The sequence below is a fragment of the Homo sapiens genome, chromosome 22 (genome assembly GCF_000001405.40).
Source record: "Homo sapiens chromosome 22, GRCh38.p14 Primary Assembly".
NCBI lineage: Eukaryota > Metazoa > Chordata > Mammalia > Primates > Hominidae > Homo > Homo sapiens.
Window position 1 is genome coordinate 35,346,750 of NC_000022.11, and position 20,543 is coordinate 35,367,292.

A 20,543-nucleotide genomic window follows, 5' to 3' on the forward strand; every position below is an offset into this window, starting at 1 on the left:
CCTACGGCTCAGGGAGGAGCCCAGGTCCAGGTCCTGGGACCTGGGTGGTGGGGGCGTGCAGAGCCTGAGCTGGGACCCAGTGCTGAGGTTCAGCGGGGCCCGAGCTGCAGCACCACTGCCCCAGGCTGACCGTACTGGGGGCCCGGCTAACCTCTGCCTCCTTTCCTTCTACCTTCCCAGGGTAATGATGCGGAAGAGCCTAAGGGGGTCACCAGCGAAGGTAGTAGTCCCCGCCCCTGCCCGCCCTCTCCTTTCCCCAGGGCTCTGGCCTCAGGGCCTACCCTCACCCTCTCCCCTTCCTCTAGAATTTGACAAATTCCTGGAAGAACGGGCCAAAGCCGCGGACCGATTGCCCAACCTCTCCAGCCCCTCAGCTGAGGGGCCCCCGGGTCCCCCATCTGGCCCAGCGCCCCGGAAGAAGACCCAGGAGAAAGATGATGACATGCTGTTTGCCTTATGAGTGTGGGGTCTGGCACCCTGCAGCCCAGGTCCCCACTGCTCTCACACCCTTAGGCTGGGACCTCCCTCCCTCCTCTGGTGTTAAGGCTGCTTTGGGGGTGGCTTGTTACCCCCTTTTCCTCCTCTTTGAAGACGGAGCTGCCCCAGCTGTGGCTGGGGGTGTGGAGGCAGTGGGATGAACTGGGGGACAGGTCTGCGCTGCAGTGGGATCTGGCTGCTCTGCCTCCTTTCCCACCCCAGCTGACCATGAGACTTTGCTGAGAAGTGGAGGCCCCAGGACAGGCTGGCTGGCTGGCTGGCTGCTTGACCCAGTGTGACTCTCCTTCACTGAGTGATACCCTGCTCCGGGCCCATGCCCCAAGGAGCCCTTCAGAGCCCACACTGCCAGTCGAGGCCTGGCTGGAGGCTGGCCACAGTGGAAATTCTGCCGAGCCTCTTGTCCCTTCCCTGCTCTGCTGCATGGGGCCCCATGGCTTTGGCTGGCCACTGAGGGTAGGGTGTGGAGGTGTGGAGGCCCCCTGAGGAGCTGCGGCGGCCCAGGTACGAAGCTGCAACTCTGCGCGCAGTGGGCGAGATCTCATCAGCCCCAGGCTGCAGGTGAGGCTTCAGGGGATGCTGGGGCCCCACTGCCCCTCCGCTGCCTTGCCCTCCATCCTTCCTCTGTTCCTTCTGGCCGGGCACCACAGCACTGGGGCTCACCTCTTGGTTGATCCTCTTGTACTGGGAGAGGTGCCTTTTGTATCCCCAATTAAAGGTAGAAAACCACCCTGCTAGCAGCATTGTCAAGTCTCCTGGTCAGAAATGACTTCTTGGCCTCACAGAGGCAGCGACTACTTTGGGCAGGGCTGGGGGCCATCCGAGAGGTGAGCATCTGTAGATGGTGCAGGCGGAAGGACAGGAGCAAACACCCAGCTACACTACGCAGGTGCCGCCTCCTCCCACCTCACATGGCAGGCTCCAGCCACCGCCCCTGCCCGGAGGATGCATGCCCTCCCCAGCTGACACCCCTCCCTCCTCAAGGCACCTTCGTGCTGCTGTTCCATGAGGCCAGCTCCTGCCCTGCACAGAGCACACTAATCACAAGGGCGGGGACCTGTGTGGACTGTGTGCGCATGTGGGGTGCACAGGCCACAGGAGGATGCTGGCCTTCCGAGGCTGGGTGCCAGGCACAGCCTGGGGCTACGCACTGGCTCGTAGCATCACAACAGCCTGGGAGAAGCAAAGTGAGCGTCCTCGATGTATAGATGCGGAGACTAGGACTCCATGAGCCGCCCAGCTCAGAGGAGGAAGCTCATGCAGTTGTCATGTGCCAGCATTTCCTCATGCAGAAGCGCATCCTCCCCATTTTCCAGGCACCAAAGCTAAGTTGGGAAGACATGGCACACAGTTCCAGACGCTGGGCCCCAGGTCAGGTGCAGGGGGTCAGCTCTTCCCTCCATGGCAGCTCAAGAGCCCCAGGTCTTAGGGTGCCACCTTTTCAGGTGTGGGATCTCTAGGCCAGACTCCCTGGGAGTCACTGCTGAGGCATGTTGGAGCCTCCTGGCCCAGGACACGGTCGGGGAACGGTGTGAGGCCAAAGCAATTGGGTCCACAGGGTCCTGGGCTCCTGGGAGAGGGCCGAGGTCTGTGTGAGCAGCCACTGATTCCCATGGGCAGTGGGCAGGCAGCACCTGCCATCTGAGGTATGGTCTGGAGCTGGGCATACAGGAGACCAGGCCCAGCCCAGCCCTCAAGATGGAGTTGGGGCAAGGAAAGCAGCTGGGGGCAGGCACACTGGTGCCAGGCAGGGGAGGGGGAGGCCCTGCCGCCATCAGGATGCTCATGGTCCAGGCCAAGCTCCCTCTGCCACATCCAGGGCATCTGTGAGCTCCTGCCAGGTGCCCTACCCTGGCCCAGCCCTTTCAGTACCTCACAACAGCCCCAGGGGGTCAATGGTGTTGGCCACCAGTTACAAATGGGGAAACTGAGGCTGAGGGAGGAAGGGACTTGCCTGGTCATACACTAAGTAATGGAAGACTGGGACCCCCAACCTTCCTCACTGCTGCCTCACCTGCCTGCCCCACCCACACCCCACTGCCTGCTTCCCTCATTCTCTCCCTACTTAACTGGGGACCTCTTAGAGGGGAGTTGTGATTTTACAAGGATCAAAGCCAAGGCCTCCTCTCCCCTGTGTTAGCTGGGAAACCCAAGGAAACTTCCACAGAAGGCCCCCAGGGCTGGGAGGGCCTCAGGTGCTAAGGGTGAAAACTGCCAGGTTGTTCATTCCTCCCTGTGGGTGCATCCCCTGGGAGCCAGCTGCACACAGCATAGCGCTAGGTGCCCGCCAGACAGAAGTGAAGCGGCCAGGTGCCAGCCCTGTGGGGTCACGTGGGAGGGAAAGGGACGAGAAAGACAGACATAAACTCAATCATTGTTTCACGCTGTGAAAAGAAGAAGATGGGACGGGACGCCCAGGGCCAGGAGGCTCTCTGTGAGGACGGCCTAAGGCTGCTGAGGTAAGATGGGGTGGGCTGGGCCATGAAGGGCCTTGAATGCCAGGCAGGAGGTGGCCCCTGCAGAGGTCTCGGCTTGGCTGGCTGGAACAGTTCCAGGCTGCCTGAAGGCCTCCTTCAGAGAGAAGGCTGCTGGGGCTGCATGGGGGCTGGGGGGGGGGGCGCTGGCGGGAATTCATCAGTGCAGTCAGGCTGGGTTCCCTGGCAGCAGGCTCTGTCTGAGGCTGCAGGCCTGGGCGGGATCACTTTACAGCTGCAGGAAGTCTTGGCCCCAAGAAAATGAGGGCCAGCTGTCTGGTGGGAGCCTTGGGTAGGAGCAGGGCCTCCACCTGGCACCACAGGGCAGGATTAACGAGGTGCCGCCGCTCCCGCTGGGCCCAGCTACATCGGAAGGCGCTGGGCCGGGGGCATGGAGGGGAGGGGTTGAGTGGAGCTGGGAGGGGCTGGTGGGCAGGGGAAAGGGCGCCTGGGGGGCAGCCCCAGGCCTGCCTTTGAGGAAGCCTTTTGCAGAGCCTCCACCAAGCCCTCTCCCTCCTGGCTCCCCTGGGCCACCACGATCCCACCCTGGGCCTGGACACCGACCCCTCCACCTCCTGCCCTAGTGTCAGTACCCACCTCCCAGACCGGCCACTTCTGGGCTGTGTGACCTTAGGCAAATTACTTAACCTTTCTGTGCTTCTGTTTTCTCACTGGTAAAATGGGCAGATAACACTCGTTGCCTCATAGGGTTGTTAGGGTTGACTGAGCCAACAAGTAACTCAGCACCTGCCATGTAGACAATGCTCTGTACATGTTGTTATTGTCACGGATGGTTCCCTGCTCCCTTCCAGAATGGCCTCTGCTCCAGACACCTGGCTCAGAGCCCTGCCCCTCAGACTCCTCAGTAATTCTAGGGACCCCTGCTCTGCCTCTGGTATTGCCTTCCCAGCTCCAGAATAACGTCTGTCCCTACTCCCCACTGGGAGAGAACCAAAGGACTGTGTCTGTCTTTCCTCCTGGTCTGGGCTGCTAACCCTAAGAGGGTCAGGGCTGTCTTGATCCTGGCAACACGGCAGGGTCCCCCTGGCGTTCCTGGATTGGGCTCTGCGGGCTCTCGGTAGGCGCTTTAGGAAGCCTTTGCCCGCTCCAAGGTGGCTGGAGGTAGGCCCAGTTCTGAGTCCTGAGCACGGTCTACGGCCCCTGCTCAGGGTCAGTGTTTCAAGGCGACCACGAGATGGCAGTAGCACTGCATGTACAGGGCTTGCCGGGGCACTAGGGTGGAGTCCACCGCGGCCAAATCAGCCCCTCCCGGGTACAGACACCGGGAGAAAGGGGCGGGTGCTGCCGGCTCCTGCCCGCTCCTGCCCCGCGCGAGCTCACAGGCGCGCGCGTGCACACACACACGCGCACACGCCCTCTGACTGGTGGGGCTGAGTAACAATGGTGATGGGGCTGGGAGCTGGAGTCCGAGGGTCTGGCTTCACCGCCGGGCTCTGCTGTGGGACTACACAAGGGATTTCATCTCTGGAAGCCTCAGATCTTCTTAAACGTCCCGATTCACAGGGTTGTGGGGAGGATTTGGTGAGACAAGCTGGGAGCTCAGCTACGGGAGCTTTGGGTGGGCAAAAGTGAGCCCGGTCCCCTCCCTCTCTTTACAGAGCCCCGGTGTGCCGTTGCTGGGGCCCCCTGCTCCCGCGCCTTCTCAGCCGACACGCTCAGATCCGTGTGCATTGCCGTTTCTGTCTCCACGTGTAGACAAATCATGAGCTCGCCCAGTAACTCCAGCTCTACCACAGATTCCTTCTCTTTTCCGCCCTTCCCCTATGTCTAATTCCCTTCTCCAGCAGTGAGAAACCTGCTTCCCGCCGTCCTTCATTCCTTCTCTCCCCCCATCCCCGCAGAAACCAATCTCTGTTGCCACCACTGCCCCGTCCTGCCAGTGCCTCCCACCCTCTCCGCGTGGACCGCCACCACCCTGCCCCACAGACAGGCCCCTAGACACAGAAATCTTCTTTCTCACAGTTCTAGAGGCTGAAGTTCAACATCAAGGACGTGGACTCCATCTGTTCAGTTGGTTCCTTCCGGCCCCTCCGTGGCTGTATATGGTCATCTTCTCCCTGGGGCCTCACATCATATCCCCTCTGCATCTCTCTATGTTCAAAAGTCCCATTTTTATAAGGACAGCATTCATCAAGGATTAGAGTCCACCTAATGATCTATTGTACCTATTGTACCTTAATCACTTTTTTTTTTTTTTTTTTTGAGACAGAGTTTCACTCTTGTTGCCCAGGCTGGAGTGCAATGGCGCGATCTCGGCTTACTGCAACCTCCGCCTCCCAGTTCAAGCAATTATCCTGCCTCAGCCTCCTGAGTAGCTGAGATTACAGGCATGCGCCATCACACCTGGCTAATTTTGTATTTTTAGTAGAGACGGGTTTTCTCCATGTTGGCCAGGCTGGTCTCGAACTCCCAACCTCGTGTGATTCACCCGCCTCGGCCTCCCAAAGTGCTGGGATTACAGGTGTGAGCCACAGTGCCTGGCACTTCTTTAAAGGTCCTACCTCCAAATACAATCGCATTCTGATATACTAGGGATTAGAGATTCAACGTATGAATTCAAAGGGACGAAGCAGCCCTGTATTGCCCTCTGCTGCCCTCTAGGCCCTGGGTCCATTCTCCCAGACACACTGCTCTTTCGCAGGTGGCCACAGTGTCTTCAGAGGGGCTGCCACATGAAACACCCGCCTCCACTCCCTGCCCCCTGCCCCCTGCCCTAGTGGGAGTTTGAGGGTGGCTAGATTCATCCTAGGGCAGCCTAGCCTTAGATCCAAGGATTAGCCATGGGACCAGGAGCGAGCAGGGGTGCCGGCAGAGTGGAGGGAGATACAGGTGCTGGGAGCTGGGCTGGGGCTGCTCTCCTGGTCCCCATGTCCGCTTGTTTTTTCAGAGCAGACCCAAGCGGGTAAGCTGGCAGGTTTCACTTCCACCCACCCTGGTACAGGGCGAGACTGGAGGAAGCAGCTTCGCCGGGCCGAATCCTCACCCCTTGCCTCTGACTCAGGACTCCCGTGACGTCTTCCTGCCCCTGCTGCAGGCTGGCCCTGCACCCTCTGTGCACCGTGGACCAGGCTGGCCAGCAGAGGGAAGGAACCCAAGCTGACCAGGGCCCCAAATCCCCAGTGGGTCAGAGTCAGGTTGGCAGGGCACTTGGACCTCTTGAGGCGGGTGAGAAATGTGCAGACAGGGAAGTGGAGGCCCAGGGAGGGGAGGGGCCTGCCCTGACCAGTGTACTGCCTCCCTACCTGGTGCAGGGGCCCAGGAGGCTCTGTGTGCCAGCCCAGCCTGCCCGGGGAGGAAGCAGCCCCCACCCACGCACAAGCACAGGGAAGTCAGTGCAGGGTGGAGGGTGGGGACTCCTGGGGCCCCCTGTGTCAGGTCCAAGCACGGCCCAGGAGTCAGCCAACCGAGCTTCCAGCGGTGCACAGACACTGACTTCCTGTTTGATTTGGAGCAAGCCTTCTCCTCTCTCTGGGCCTCAGTTTCCCCATCTGTTAATCGGCTTGATTTAAGAGAGCGTAAGGCCCCTTTGCACTCTGCTTTTCTGCCCTATCAACCCCCAAATTCCATAATCCTCCTTCCAAAAAGGAAAGAAATACGAGGAAAGAAACTCAAATATCTACAAGAGAGGGAAGCAGGACCCCGGGTTTATCTCCCCTCCAGGACCAGCGGCGATAGGGAAACAACTGCCCAAGCTTCAGTGGGACCAATGGGTGGAGGCGGCCACCCACACACCCTGCTGAATGCCCGCACAGGAAGCTGACCGCCTAGGGGCAGGAGGGAAGCGAAACCCAAGCCGGGGACATCCTTGCACCTGCCCTGGGGTACCCCTAGGAAAGGGAAAAGCAAGTGGGTGAACTGAGGAATGGGGGTGCTGCCCATGCTCCCCACAGGACCCTGCCCTCACTGGAGCCCTTGGAAGCTCTGTTAAAAATGAATCTTCAGCCAGGCGCAGTGGCTCACGCCTGTAATCGCAGCACTTTGGGAGGCCGAGGTGGGTGGATCACCCGAGGTCAGGAGTTCAAGACCAGCCTGGCTAACATGGCGAAACCCTGTCTCTACTAAAAATGCAAAAATTAGCCAGGCGTGGTTGTGGGTGTCTGTAATCCCAGCTACCAGGGAGGCTGAGGCAGAAGAATCGCTTGAACCCGGGAGGCGGAGGCTGCAGTGAGCCGAAATCGCGCCACTGTACTCCAGCCTGGGCAACAAGAGTGAGACTCCATCTCAAAAAATATACAAATTAAAAAAAAAAAAAAGAATCTTCATTTTACAAAGGAGGGGGTGAGGTCAGAAAAGTCAACTAGCTAATCCAAAGCCACACAGCCGGCAAGTGGAAACATTGAGTCCTCTTTTCTGGGGAGAAAAGGTCCCTGGGGGATCAGGATGAAGTGCACTCTATTCTGGGCCTGGGGCTGCGCCTAGGTCTGCCTTGGGGCTAGAAAAGTCACTGTGTACATTATCTGTATGAGTAGCCCTGAGCCCTGCAAGCCACTTAGGCTGCAGAGGCCACTGGACCCCTGCAGGGAGAAGGCTGGCTGCTGAGATGGGGCCCTCCCTCAGGATCCCTTCTCAGGCCCAGACCAGTGCAGAGACTTGCCCAAGGCCACACAGCAAATTTGTAAAAGAACTGAAACTAGAATCCCGGTCCTCCATAGCACCTGCCCCGCAGGAGGTGGGCGAATGGAGGACAGCTGGGAAGTCTGTCTTCAGAAGGCCCTCCCCAGCACCCTGCACCGTGCTCTGGGCTCCCACAGAACTTTCAGCCTCAGAGACCAACTAGGCCAGTGGGTTCTAAAACCTTCTCTCCCCAAGGAAATCTTCTATCATGGTCTCTCCCCAAGACTATGGATTTAGAAGAGTTTTGTTTGTTTTGATTTTTGGCCACAAAACATTCCACAATGCATTGAGTTGTTAATATTTTTCCCTTTTGGGCATCAGTAATCAAGACTTTTTTTTTTTTTTTTTTTTGAGACAGAGTCCCGCTGTGTCCCCCAGGCTGGAGTGCAGTGGCGCAATATCGGCTTACTGCAACCTCCGCCTCCCGGGTTCAAGTGATTCTCCTGCCTCAGCCTCCCAAGTAGCTGGGATTACAGACACATGCCACCACGCCTGGCTAATTTTTGTATTTTTAGTAGAGATGGGGTCTCACCATGTTGGCTAGGCTGGTCTCGAGCTCCTGACCTCAAGTGATCCACCCACCTCGACCTCCCAAAGTGCTGGGATTACAGGTGCGAGGCACTGCGCCCGGCAGTAATCAGACTTTTAATACACCAATGCAGTATCTCGTTCCATCCAAAAGTGCTCCAGTTGCCTGGGCAGCCTCATCTGAGGGAACTAACAGCACAGCCTCTGTTTGCCCAGCCCCTCTGGGCCCACCCACTGTTTGGAGCAGAACCCCAACCCAAAAGGGCAGGAGCTGAAGATAGCCATGCTCACTGCTGGCCAGGGGCTCCCCCACGGCTCCTGCCAGCCTTGGCCTTCACACGCATTGGGCATCTCCATCGACGGCCACCCTGGCTTCTGCACCGTCCCCACGTAAACATGGCTCTGCCCTCCCATCCCCTCACCTCAACTCTGCAACACAGGGACCCAGGAGACAGAGGCAAGGAAGGGAGAGTGAAGGAGCTGGCCATACCCTCCTGAAGTGCTAAGGGGAGGGAGGAGGGGATATCAAATTCGATGTGAGATTAAACTTCAAGACTGGACTTTTTTTTTTTTTTTTGAGATGGGATCTCATTCTGTCACCCACGCTGGAGTGTAGTGGCGCTATTTCGGCTCACTGCAGCCTCTGCCTCCTGGGTTCAAGTGATTCTCCTGCCTCAGCCACCCAAGTAGCTGGGATTACAGGCGTGTGCCACTATGTCTGGCTAATTTTTGTGTTTGTAGCAGAGATAGGGTTTCATCATGTTGGCCAGGCTGGTCTGAAACTCCTGAGCTCAAGCAATCCACCCACCTCGGCCTCCCAAAGTGCTGGGATTACATGTGTGAGCCACTGCGCCAAGATTGGACTTTTTTGTACTTGAAAATGACAAGAAAGTTAGCAAAACCACCCAAGATGTCACAAAGGACCCTGGTGGAGGCTGGGCATGGTTGAAGACAATGGTTGGAGAAAAGGAAGCTCTCTCATGTCCATGTTTGTGCACAGGGACTTTGGATCTGCAAGCTTGGGGAGGGAGCTGGAGACAGCTGGACTGCTCTGCTCTTAAGAGGGAGGTGAATCCTACCGGGCCATCTGGAAGAGGGCCTGAGAGCACAGAGACAAGAACGGGGAAAGGGAAGAGAGAGAAGGCAGGAGAGGGTGAGCTACTGGGCCCCAGGCAAAGAGTTGGGGGAGGATCAGAGGTCAACTACTGGGGTAGAGGGAGGGAAGGGAGAGGAGTAGCCAAAAAAGATTCGGAAGAACAGATGCTGTATTAGATTGTTCTCTAGGTTCTGTCTAATGTCACCCCTCTCTGTGGCCCTGAGATCTTTAGTAAATGCTCTGCTCATAAGTATTTGTCAAGAGTAGGGTTTTGGGCCAGGCATGGTGACTCACCCCTGTAATCCCAGCACTTTGGGCGGCAGAGACGGATGGATCACCTGAGGTCAGGAGTTCGAGACTAGCCTGGCCAACATGGTGAAACCTCATCTCTACTAAAAATACAAAAAATTAGCCAGACGTGGAGGCGGGCGCATGTAATCCCAGCTACTTGGGAGGCTGAGACAAGAGAATTGCCCAAACCCGGGAGGTGGAGTTGCAGTGAGCAGAGATGGCGCCATTGCACCCCAGCCTGGGCGACAGAGTGAGACTCCGTCTCAAAAAAAATAAAAAAAGAGTAGGGTTTTGGGGAACTGGGGAAGGAGCAAGTTTCATGTCTGAGTCAGCACAGTTCAGAGCAGAAATAGGAAGAAGCTGGGACAGCAGGGTGGGGGAAGTGGTGAAAACACAAGTACCAGGGATTGCCGGAACCTTCAGGAGGACTTTGGGCTTTTACTGGACGTGAAGTTAGGGGAGGACTCTGCCCTTCCCTCAGTGACTTCTTCACATGCTGCCAAATACATTTCATTTTTTTTTTTAAAGAAATGGGGTCGTGCTCTGTTGCCCAGATTGGAATGCCGCGGCATGATTGCAGCTCACTGCAACCTCGGCTTCCCCCGTCCCCTCTCCCCTACCCCCTGCTCAAGCGGTCCTCCCACCCAGCCTCCTGAGTACCTAGGACTACAGGCACATACCACCACGCCCAGCTAATTTTTATTTTTATTTATTTATTTTATTTATTATTATTTTTTTAGAGGGAGTCTTGCTCTGTCACCCAGGCTGGAGTGCAGTGGTGTGATCTCGGCTCACTGCAACCTCCACTTCCCGGGTTCAAGCAGTTCTCCTGTCTCAGCCTCCCGAGTAGCTGGGACTACAGGCGCGTGCCACCACACCCAGCTAATTTTTGTATTTTTAGTAGAGACAGGGTTTCACCATATTGAGGTCAGGATGGTCTCGAAGTCCTGACCTCAGGTGATCCACCTGCCTCGGCCTCCCAAAGTGTTGGGATTACAGGCGTGACCCACCACGCCCAGCTGTCATTTTTTTAAAAAATATTTTTGCAGAGATGGGGTCTCACTGTGTTGCCCAGGCTGGTCTCCAACTCCTGGGTTCAAGTGGTCCTCCCACCTCAGCCTCCCGAAGTGCTGGAATTACAGGCATGAGCCACTGCACCCAGCCGAAAATATATTTCAAAGGGCAAATCCGACCATGTTTTACAATACCCACACCCCCAAAACCCAACACACACACCTAAAACCTTTCACTTGCTCTCAGGCTAAAGACCCACCTCCTGGCCTGGCCTCCAGGGCCCCTGGAGTCTGTCCCCTGCCACATTCTTCAGGTTCTCTGCACTCCAGACAGGCTGTCTTTCCCACCTCAAAAGTTTCATGCTGGGCTGGGCACAGTGGCTCACGCCTGTAATTCCAGCATTTTGGGAGCCTGAGGCATGTGGATCACGAGGTCAGGAGATCGAGACCAGCCTGGCCAACATGGTAAAATCCTATCTCTATTAAAAATACAAAAATTAGTAGGGCGTGGTAGTGCATGCCTGTAATCCCAGCTACTCGGGAGGCTGAGGCAGGAGAATCACTTGAACCTGGGAGGTGGATGTTGCACTGAGCTGAGATCGCACCACTGTACTCCAGCCTGGGCGACAGAGTGAGACTCCATCTCAAAAAAAAAAAAAAAAAGTTTCATGCCCTGACCACAGGGCCTTTGTATGTGCTATTTCCTCTAAAACAGGCCACCTGACTTAACTCATTCATCCTTCAGGGCTCAGCTACTGTGTCACCTCCTCAGACAAGCTACTCTAACTTCCTGACTGGTCATTCATCCGGCACAATGGAATCCACCTGCACAATTACGCTGGCAAAGAGGAATGGGATGACCACAGGATGGCTTAGAATCTCTGCCTCAGAGTAACCATGACTCACCTCTGGCACTGGGCACACCCTCCCTAAATCTATGATTCCATCTGGATCCCAAACAAATTGGGGTTCTGTTACCTAGGGGAAGAGGAGATGGCTGTTGAGTAGACAATCAACAGTGTCCACCACATTGCCATACACTGCACTCCCCAACCCAACCTCACTTGCAGAGGAGGAAGGGGGCTCGTAGACGTTTCTGGAAGGTGATGGCAGGAGCACGAGTGAGAAGGAAGTTGCCCTGCCTGGGCACTGGTCTCAGACTGGCCTGACAAGATGGGAGGTTGTGTGATGTATGATGAAGCCTCACTATTGGACAGTTTGTTTTTGATACAGGTAACTGCCAGTCATATCATGACCTCTGGGACACACACATACTAAAAAAAAAAAAAAATACACAGGAAAACCTCCCAGCTTAGTTAGCAATATGTAAGGCTTTTTGTCTCCCCCTCCAACAAAAACCTCATAAAGACTCACGTAGAGTCAGACTGATGGTGCTGTTTCAGCCAACCCGTATCCCATGCTTGCATACCTCCAGTGACAGGGCACTCACCACCTTCAATAGGAGCCATCTCACCTGGCCAGCCCCCCGACACTGATCCATAAATTAAGCTATAAAATCTAGTTGGCATATTGTTTAATGGGTACAGAGGTTTAGTCTGGGATGATGGAAAAGTTCTGGAGATGGATGGTGGTGATGGTTGTACAGTGGGAATGTACTTAATGCCACTGAACTTTACACTTAGAAGTGGTCAAAATGGGCCAGGCGTGATAGCTTACTCCTGTAATCCCAGCACTTTGGGAGGCTGAGGCAGGTGGGTCACCTGAGGTCAGGAGTTTGAGACCAGCCTGGCCAACATGGCGAAACACTGTCTCTACTAAAAATACAAAAAATTAGCTGGTCATGGTGGTGCGTGCCTGTAGTCCCAGCTACTCAGGAGGCTGAGGCAGGAGAATCACTTGAACCCGGGAGGTGGAGGTTGCAGTGAGCTGAGATCATGCCATTGCACTCCAGCCTGGGTGACAAGAGCGAAACTCCGTCTCAAAAAAAAAAGAAGTGATCAAAATGGTAAATGTTATGTATATTTTACTACAATTAATTTAAAAAACCACACACACACAAGCACCATCTCTCAGGCTTCACAACTTACCAGCTGTGTGGTTTTGAGCAGGTTACTTTTTTAAAAATCTGATTGGCAGTTAAGGCAAACACTTAGGCCCACTCTCTCCTTTGATCCCGATTTGCTTTGGTTCAGCCTCATCTCCCAAGCTCAGAAATTTGGGCTCCATTTTTAGAGCTTCAAATCCTGCCTCTTTTCTCTGTAGAGGCTGTAGCCGCGGTCATCCTCGCTTGCTAGGGGCCTACTGTGTGCTAGGCTCTGAGGATGTACGTAGCGAGAAATGAGTCATAGCCCTTGTCCTCCCAGCCACAGGGAATAGTCAGGGGAAAAGGGGTTAGTTAGTTGGATAGATAGGTAGGTAGGTAGGGAGGTAGTGGAAACCTGCCAGACTCCAGTCTCCATGAACCCCAGCCCAGCTGTGAAACTCCTGAGGACTGGTCCCTGATGTCCTGTGTCCCCAGATGCCCTCATTTAGGTGGGAATGACCACAGCACAGGATGACACTGGTCCCTGAGCTCTTGGCATGAACAGAATGTGTGTGGGGAGCCTGTGACCTAGGAATGTCCACAGCACAGGATGACACTGGTCCCTGAGCTCTTGGCATGAACAGAATGTGTGTGGGGAGCCTGTGACCTGGGAATGTCCACTGACACCGGTGATCATGTGTCCAGGAAGAGGAGGCAGGAATTCTCATCTCTGAGGCTCACTCTGCCCCGGGAATTGCAGAGGAACCAAGCAATCTGGGATCGGAGAACCCAGCTAACCCAGAGCAGTCAAAGTGGTGGCCCCAGGGCCATGTCAGGTCTTGTGGAGGGTGGTTGTTGTTTTTTGTTTTTTTTGTTTTGTTTTGTTTTGTTTTGAGACAGAGTCTCGCTCTGTCACCCAGGCTGGAGTGCAGTGGCCTGATCTCCGCTCACTGCAAGCTCTGCCTCCCGCGTTCACGCCATTCTCCTGCCTCAGCCTCCCGAGTAGCTGAGACTACAGGCGCCCACCACCACGCCTGGCTAGTTTTTTGTATTTTTAGTAGAGACGGGGTTTCACCGTGTTAGCCAGGCTGGTCTCGATCATCTGACCTCGTGATCTGCCCCCCTCAGCCTCCCAAAGTGCTGGGATTACAGCCGTGAGCCACCGTGCCCAGCTCTTTTTTTCTTTTTTTAACTGAGTCTATTGTCAATGTTTAAAAAACTGAACATTTCTTTTTTTTTTTTTTCCTTGAGACAGAGTCTCACGCTGTCACCCAGGCTGGAGTGCAGTGGCACAATCTCGCCTCACTGCAGCCTCTGCCTCCCAGGTTCAAGCAATTCTCCTGCCTCAGCCTCCTGAGTAGCTGGGACGACAGGCACCTGCCATCACGCCCTGCTAATTTTTGTATTTTTAGTAGAGATGGGGTTTTGCCACGTTGGTCAGGCTAGTCTTACACTCCTGACCTCAGGTGATCCGCCTGCCTCGACCTCCCAAAGTGCTGGGATTACAGGCATGAGCCATCGCGCCCGGCCACAAGTGCATTTTTGTTACATGGATATATTGCCTGGGCTTTTAGTTTAACCTTCACCCAAATAACGTAAATTGTACCCTGTAGGTAATTCCTCATCCCTCAATCCCCTCCCACCCAATTATTATTCATTTTTCGAGACAGGGGTCTTGCTTTGTTGTCCAGGCTGGTCTCCAACTCCTGACCTCAAACAATCCTCCTGCCTCAGCCTCCCAAGAAATAGCTGGGATTTCAGGCATGAGCCACCATGCCCAGCTGTGGTTACTGATTTTTCAGCAAGAGTCAGCCCTCTCCTTGAAAAGAGAAGAAGAGTCCCCAGCTGAACACCTGTTGTGTACCACACACTGGGTACACGAAGCTCCTACACCCCTGATCTCAGCTGGCCCTGGTAAGCCGGGATTATTAGTCCCATTTTCCTGATAAAGAAATGGAGATTTTGCAGGGTGAAGAGGTCACAATATGGGTTAAGTACAGAGTCCAGCACCCAGCTCCGTCTGATGCCAAAGGCCAGGGGCTTTCCACCACGCCCCCATGCCACCTTCCCAGGGGATGCCGCCTCGCCAGAAGTCCAGGGCACATTCTGGAATTTCTTCAGAGAGGACCTTGGACCCTCATAGAGATCCTTTCTCACAGCTGCCTGCTGGGGAGCCCTTGAGAAGCAAACACTTCCCAGCATTGGACAGGTGACACAGTGGGTCCACAGACACTGTCACAGGTGGCCCTCATGATGGTCAAGAGCCAATTTTTTGTTTTTTGTGTTTCTTGGGGTTTTTTTTTTTTTTTTTTGAGACGGAGTCTCACTCTGTCACCCACGCTGGAGTGTAATAGCATAATCTTGGCTCTCTGCAACCTCTGCCTCCCAGGTTCAAGTGATTCTCCTGCCTCAGCCTCCCAAGTAGTTGGGACTACAGGTGCATGCCATCACACTTGGCTAATTTTTGTATTTTTAGATCCCGGCACTTTGGGAGGCTGAGGTGGGCAGATCCTCTGAGTGCAGGAGTTGGAGATCACCCTGGCCAACATGGTGAAACTCTGTCTCTACTAAAAATACAAAAATTAGCTGGGCGTGATGGCGGGCACCTGTAATCCCAGCTACTCAGGAGGCTGAGGTAGGAGAATCACATGAACCCCCGAGGCAGAGGCTACTGTGAACTGAGATTGCGCCACTGCACTCCAACCTGGGTGACAGAGCGAGACTCCATTTCAAAAAAAAAAAAAAAGTTATACTTACAATTATTGACAAATAAAAGTGCCCTGGCTCTGCTACCTGCCTCCTTCCCTGTTCCCCAAAGTGAATGGGCAGAGTGAGGTAGTGGAGGTGGGGAAGAGAGGGACAGGCCCAGAGCTTGAACTTGAGCCAAGCCCCACAAAGGAGGAAAGACATGGATATCCCAGGCCTCTCTGAGGAGCACAGGACTCAGGACACTGGGTTATATAACTGCAGGGGCGCCGTCCACACTCGGACCATGTGAATGGGCCCTGGCTGGGCAGTGCAGAGCCTGCATGGTGCTCCAGGTGACAGGTGGCCCAGCAGGGCGGGATGGATCTATCCTAAGGGTACCGTAGCACCCCCTTCCTTGTTATGCAGGTGTGGAAACTGAAGTCAGAGAGAAAGGGGACTTGCCAATGGTGTGAGCGTGAGTGGCAGAGGTGGGACCACAACCCACGTCTCCTGCCCTGCCAATTTCCACTGCGGGGAACAGAAGGGGCTCTGTCCCAGATGGAGTACTCGGCTGAGCCTCTGTTTCCTCCTCTAAATTGGAGCTAATTAAAATTGGCTCTTAGGCTGGGTGCAGGGTGAAGTCATCATGAGACAGGGAGATGAAGAAGCAGTATTCTCATGCTGACATCGTTTCTCTGTGAAGATCTTCTAACTTGGCATAAGCTATTTTGCTGGAATTTGGGATCTGAAAAACATCTTAATTCTTTTTTATTTTATTTTTTATTTTTTGAGATACTCACTGTCTCACACTGTATCTCTGGCTGGAGTGCAGTGGTGCAATCTTGGCTCACTGCAGCCTTGACCTTCCTGAGCCGAGGTGATCCTCCTGCATCAGCCTCCCTAGTAGCTGAGACTACAGGCAGGCACCACCATACCCAGCTAATTTTTGTACTTTTTGTAGAGTCAGGGTTTCACCACATAGCCCAGGCTGATCTCAAACTCCTGGGATCAAGTGATCTGCCTGCCTTGGCCTTCCAAAGTACTGGGATTACAGGCGTGAGCCACTGCATTGAGCCATCTTAAGCAATTTGTTTCTGTTTGTTTAAGACAGAGTCTCGCTCTGTTGCCCAGGCTGGAGTGCAGTGATGTGATCTCGGCTCACTGCAGCCTGAATTTCCTGGGCTCAAGTGATCCTCCCACCACAGTCTCCTGAGTAGCTGCCACCACAGGTGTGCCACAGTGCCTGGCTAAGTTTTTAATTGTTTTGTAGAGACCAGGTTTCGCCATCTTACCCAGGCTGGTCTCCGACTCCTGGGCTCGAGCAATCTGCCTGCCTCGGGCTCTCAAAGTGCTGGGATTACAAGCATGAGCTTCTGCACCTGGCCTTAAGCAATTCTTTTTTTTTTTTTTTTTTTTTTTTTTTTGAGACGGAGTTTCGCTTTTGTTGCTCAGGCTGGAGTGCAATGGTGCGATCTCAGCTCACCGCAACCTCTGCCTCCCGGGTTCAAGTGATTCTCCTGCCTCAGCCTCCCGAGTAGTGGGATTACAGGCATGCGCCACCATGCCCAGCTAATTTTGTATTTTTAGTAGAGACGGATTTCTCCATGTTGGCCAGACTGGTCTCGAACTCCCCACCTCAGGTGATCCGCGCGCCTTGGCCTCCCAAAATGCTAGGATTACAGGCCTGAGCCACTGCGCCTGGCCATTAAGCAATTCTTAATCAAAAAGCCTTATGATTCCAGTGTCAGCGATCCTAATAGGAACAGTGGAGATGCAAACAGCCAGTATCCAGTGCTACGTGACTTTCGGTTACGAGGAAGTGGGTCAAAGAGCAGCCTGATTAATTATAACGATATTTCTGTCCAGAATCTTTGTTAACACTATGAGGACAGCTTCAGTTCTTCTTAACCCTGTGAAGACAGCTTCACTGTTATTATTCCTATTTTACAGATAAGAAAACTGAGGCCCCAGAGACATTGAAAGACTTGCTCAGGTCACACAGCCCGTTATTAATGAGATTCAAAACCAGGTCTAGGGATGTTTTTAGCCACCAGGCCTTATAAGAAAGGAACTGTATCATTTCTATCAATAGATCCCAGCCAGGTGTGGTGGCTCATGCCTGTCATCCCAGCACTTTGGGAGGCCGAGGTGGGTGGATCATCTGAGGTCAGGAGTTTGAGACCAGCCTGGCCTACATGATGAAACCTCTTCTCTACTAAAAATACAAAAATTAGCTGGGTGTGGTGGCAGGAGCCTATAATCACAGCCACTTGGGAGGCTGAGGCAGGAGAATCTATTGAACCTGGGAGGTGGAAGTTGCAGTGAGCAGAGATCGTGCCACTGCACTCCAGCCTGGGTGACAAGAGCGAAACTCTGTCTCAAAAAAAAAAAAAGATCCCATTTCCCTTTGTTTAGCAAGGGTCTCCCGCTGTACACAAAGGCACTTCTCCTTTACTACATAAACAGTGAGTCATGAATCCAAGCAAATAATCTAGTGTCTGGGAACGTTATGTCATGCCTGTAATCCTAGCACTTTGTGAGGCCAAGGCAGGCAGATCACTTGAGCCCAGGAGTTCAAGATGAGCCATGGCAACATAGTGAGACACCGTCGCTACAAAAATTACAAAAATTAGCCAGGCATGGTGGTGCGTGCCTGTAGTCCTAGCTACTCAGGAGGCTGAGGTGGGAGGATCACCTGAGCCCAGGAAGTGGAGGTTGCAGTGAGCCAAGATCGCACTACTGCACCCCAGCCTGGGTGACAAGAGTGACAGCCTGGCTGACCCTGTATCAAATAATATATATATATATATATATATATTTTTTTTTTTTTTTGAAACAGGGTCTCCCTGTCTCCCAGGCTGCAGTACAGTGCTCCGAGCTCTGCTCACTGCTACCTCTGCCTCCCGGGTTCAAGCAATCCTCATGCCTCAGCCTCCTGAATAGTTGGGATTATAGTTGTGCACCACCATGCCCCCGTACCCAGCTAATTTTTGTATTTTTAGTAGAGACGAGTTTTCACCATGTTGGCCAGGCTGGTCTCGAACTCCTGGCCTAAAGCGTTCTGCCCCCTCTCAGCATCCCAAAGCGCTGGGATTACAGACATAAGCCATCAAGCCCAGCCCAATAATAATAAATAATAATCTGGTATCAAAATGCATCAAAACTCTGCCACCAACTTGCTGGACCTTGGTTTCATCACCTCCGTTATGAGAGGTTTTGTTTTTCCTGAGATAGAGTCTTGCTCTGTTACCCAGATTGGAGTGCAGTGGCTCAATCTTGGCTCACTGCAACCTCTGCCTCCTGGGTTCAAGCGATTCTCCTACCTCAGCCTCCTGAGTAGCTGGGATTATAGGCACATGCCACCACATCCAGTTAACTTTTTGTATTTTTAGTAGAGACAGGGTTTCACCATGTTGGCCAGGCTGGTCTCGAACTCCTGACCTCATGATCCGCCCGCCTCACCCTCCCAAAATGCTGGAATTACAGGCGTGAGCTGCCATGCCCGGACTGAGGGGCTTTAATATCACCATAGAGCATTCTTGCCAAAAATGGTTAACTAGAATCTAATTTGAGGAAAAAGACAAATTTAGAATATGGGACATTTTTAAGACAGCTGATCTGTCTCTGTAAAACAATCTTCAAGTCAAAGTCATGAAACACACCCAAAAGACATGACTGGATGGTGGGTGAAGGGAGAGCAGACCTCTAAAGAACAGTTTTGGAGATAACTGAGGAATTGTGACTGGACTGAGAGTAACGAATATTGTGTGATCTTCTTAATGTGCAAATAATAAGATAGATTGATGTCCTTGCTCTTAGGAGCGAAGTGTCATGATGTCCACAACCTACTCTCAAATGGCTCTGAAAAAATTAATACATAAACGTGAAAGTGAGAGGCTGGGCGTGGTGGCTCATGCCTGTCATCCCAGGACTCTGGGAGGCTAAGGTGGGTGGATCACTCGAGGCCAGGGGTTTGAGACCAGCCTGGCCAACATGGTGAAACCTTGTCTCTACTAAAAATTCCGAAATTAGCTGGGTGTGATGGCGGGCACCTGTAATCTCAGCTATGTGGGAGGTTGAGGAGGGAGAATCACTTGAACCCAGGAGGCGGAGATTGCAGTGAGCCGAGATCGTGCCACTGCACTCCAGCCTGGGTGACAGAGTGAGACCCTGTCTCAAAAAAAAAAAAAGCAATTTCACTTCTGGGTATACATCCAAAAGAATCGAAAACAGGAACATGAACAGATATTTGTGAACCCATATGCATAGCAACGTTATTTACAATGACCAAAAGGTAAAAGCAACCCGTGTCCATTGATGGATGAAAGGATAAACAAAATGTGTTGTGTGTATACAAATGAATACACACACACATACACACATGGAAACATTATTCAGCCTTACAAATTAAGGAAATTCTAACACATGCTACAAAAAAGAAAAAAAAAGAGAGAAAGAGAAAAACCAAATAGCAAACTGCTGACCATGGGCAATGTGGGTGGAGGGTGTACTGGTGTGTTCATGGTTCTATTCTTTTTTTTTTTTTTTTTTTTTGAGACGGAGTCTTGCTCTGTCGTCCAGGCTGGAGTGCAGTGGCGTGATCTCTGCTCACTGCAAGCTCCGCCTCCTGGGTTCATGCCATTCTCCTGCCTCAGCCTCCTGAGTAGCTGGGACTACAGGCGCCCGCCAACACGCCCGGCTAAATTTTTTTTTTTTTTTTTTTTTTTTTTTTGAGCCAGAGTCTCGCTCTGTCACCCAGGCTGGAGTGCAGTGGCGCAATCTTGGCTCACTGCAAGCTCTGCCTCCCGGGTTCACGCCATTCTCCTGCCTCAGCCTCCTGAGTAGCTGGGGCTACAGGTGCCCACCACCACACCTGGCTAATTTTTTGTATTTTTAGTAGAGACGGGGTTTCACCGTGTTAGCCAGGATGGTCTCCATCTCCTGACCTCGTGATCCGCCCGCCTCGGCCTCCCAAAGTGCTGGGATTACAGGCGTGAGCCACCGCGCCCGGCCTCATGGTGCTATTCTTTTCAGCTCATTGGTATGTCTGAAATTTTTTCAAAATAAAAAGGGAGAAAGAGAGAAGAGAGGAAAGAAGAGTTGGAATGAGCCCCTCTATTCAAAGCCAATCCCAGTCTTAGAGTCTGGGACCCTGTGCTAGTTGGCTTGGGCCGCCGTAACACAGTACCACAGACTAGGGGCTTGGATAATGGAAATTTATTTCTCACACTTTTGGAGACTGGAAGTCCGAGATCAAGGTGTTAGCAGGGTTGGTAATGAGAGCAAAGATCACCTGGTGGCCATCAAACAAACCATCCAGAGGCAGAACTCCTTATCTG

General features: G+C 53.3%; 1 protein-coding gene across 12 annotated transcripts in view, besides 9 other annotated features; it reads left to right on the top strand.

Annotated features, from left to right (window-relative positions):
* TOM1 (target of myb1 membrane trafficking protein) overlaps positions 1–1,224 on the top strand; it is a 48,699-nt gene extending 47,475 nt beyond the window's left edge. For 7 of the 12 annotated variants that reach the window (NR_024194.2, NR_024195.2, NR_156428.2 and 4 more), the window contains 2 exons: positions 181–220; positions 306–1,224. Coding sequence is in view for 9 of the 12 variants with exons in the window: in NM_005488.3 (NP_005479.1) it covers positions 181–220; positions 306–460 (195 nt within the window). In the remaining 3 variants the exon portion in view is untranslated. Of the gene's footprint in view, positions 1–180; positions 224–305 lie in introns of all 12 variants that reach the window. The other 5 variants (NM_001135729.2, NM_001135732.2, XM_047441068.1 and 2 more) reach the window with 1 other exon arrangement.
* Positions 2,568–3,100: an enhancer, noted in NCBI's record as "H3K4me1 hESC enhancer chr22:35745310-35745842 (GRCh37/hg19 assembly coordinates)". NCBI's record gives its function as "activates a minimal SCP1, AML or CMV promoter by ChIP-STARR-seq in naive H9 embryonic stem cells {active_cell/tissue: H9 hESC(naive)}" and the evidence as "EXISTENCE:reporter gene assay evidence [ECO:0000049][PMID:30033119]".
* Positions 3,101–3,633: an enhancer, noted in NCBI's record as "H3K4me1 hESC enhancer chr22:35745843-35746375 (GRCh37/hg19 assembly coordinates)". NCBI's record gives its function as "activates a minimal SCP1, AML or CMV promoter by ChIP-STARR-seq in naive H9 embryonic stem cells {active_cell/tissue: H9 hESC(naive)}" and the evidence as "EXISTENCE:reporter gene assay evidence [ECO:0000049][PMID:30033119]".
* Positions 4,079–4,198: a silencer, noted in NCBI's record as "silent region_13654". NCBI's record gives its function as "represses an Ori minimal core promoter by ATAC-STARR-seq in GM12878 lymphoblastoid cells {active_cell/tissue: GM12878}" and the evidence as "EXISTENCE:reporter gene assay evidence [ECO:0000049][PMID:35858748]".
* Positions 4,224–4,732: an enhancer, noted in NCBI's record as "H3K4me1 hESC enhancer chr22:35746966-35747474 (GRCh37/hg19 assembly coordinates)". NCBI's record gives its function as "activates a minimal SCP1, AML or CMV promoter by ChIP-STARR-seq in naive H9 embryonic stem cells {active_cell/tissue: H9 hESC(naive)}" and the evidence as "EXISTENCE:reporter gene assay evidence [ECO:0000049][PMID:30033119]".
* Positions 4,299–4,418: an enhancer, noted in NCBI's record as "active region_18900". NCBI's record gives its function as "activates an Ori minimal core promoter by ATAC-STARR-seq in GM12878 lymphoblastoid cells {active_cell/tissue: GM12878}" and the evidence as "EXISTENCE:reporter gene assay evidence [ECO:0000049][PMID:35858748]".
* Positions 5,550–6,425: an enhancer, noted in NCBI's record as "H3K4me1 hESC enhancer chr22:35748292-35749167 (GRCh37/hg19 assembly coordinates)". NCBI's record gives its function as "activates a minimal SCP1, AML or CMV promoter by ChIP-STARR-seq in naive H9 embryonic stem cells {active_cell/tissue: H9 hESC(naive)}" and the evidence as "EXISTENCE:reporter gene assay evidence [ECO:0000049][PMID:30033119]".
* Positions 5,550–6,428: a biological region, named in NCBI's record as "H3K4me1 hESC enhancer GRCh37_chr22:35748292-35749167".
* Positions 5,729–5,868: an enhancer, noted in NCBI's record as "active region_18901". NCBI's record gives its function as "activates an Ori minimal core promoter by ATAC-STARR-seq in GM12878 lymphoblastoid cells {active_cell/tissue: GM12878}" and the evidence as "EXISTENCE:reporter gene assay evidence [ECO:0000049][PMID:35858748]".
* Positions 6,369–6,428: an enhancer, noted in NCBI's record as "active region_18902". NCBI's record gives its function as "activates an Ori minimal core promoter by ATAC-STARR-seq in GM12878 lymphoblastoid cells {active_cell/tissue: GM12878}" and the evidence as "EXISTENCE:reporter gene assay evidence [ECO:0000049][PMID:35858748]".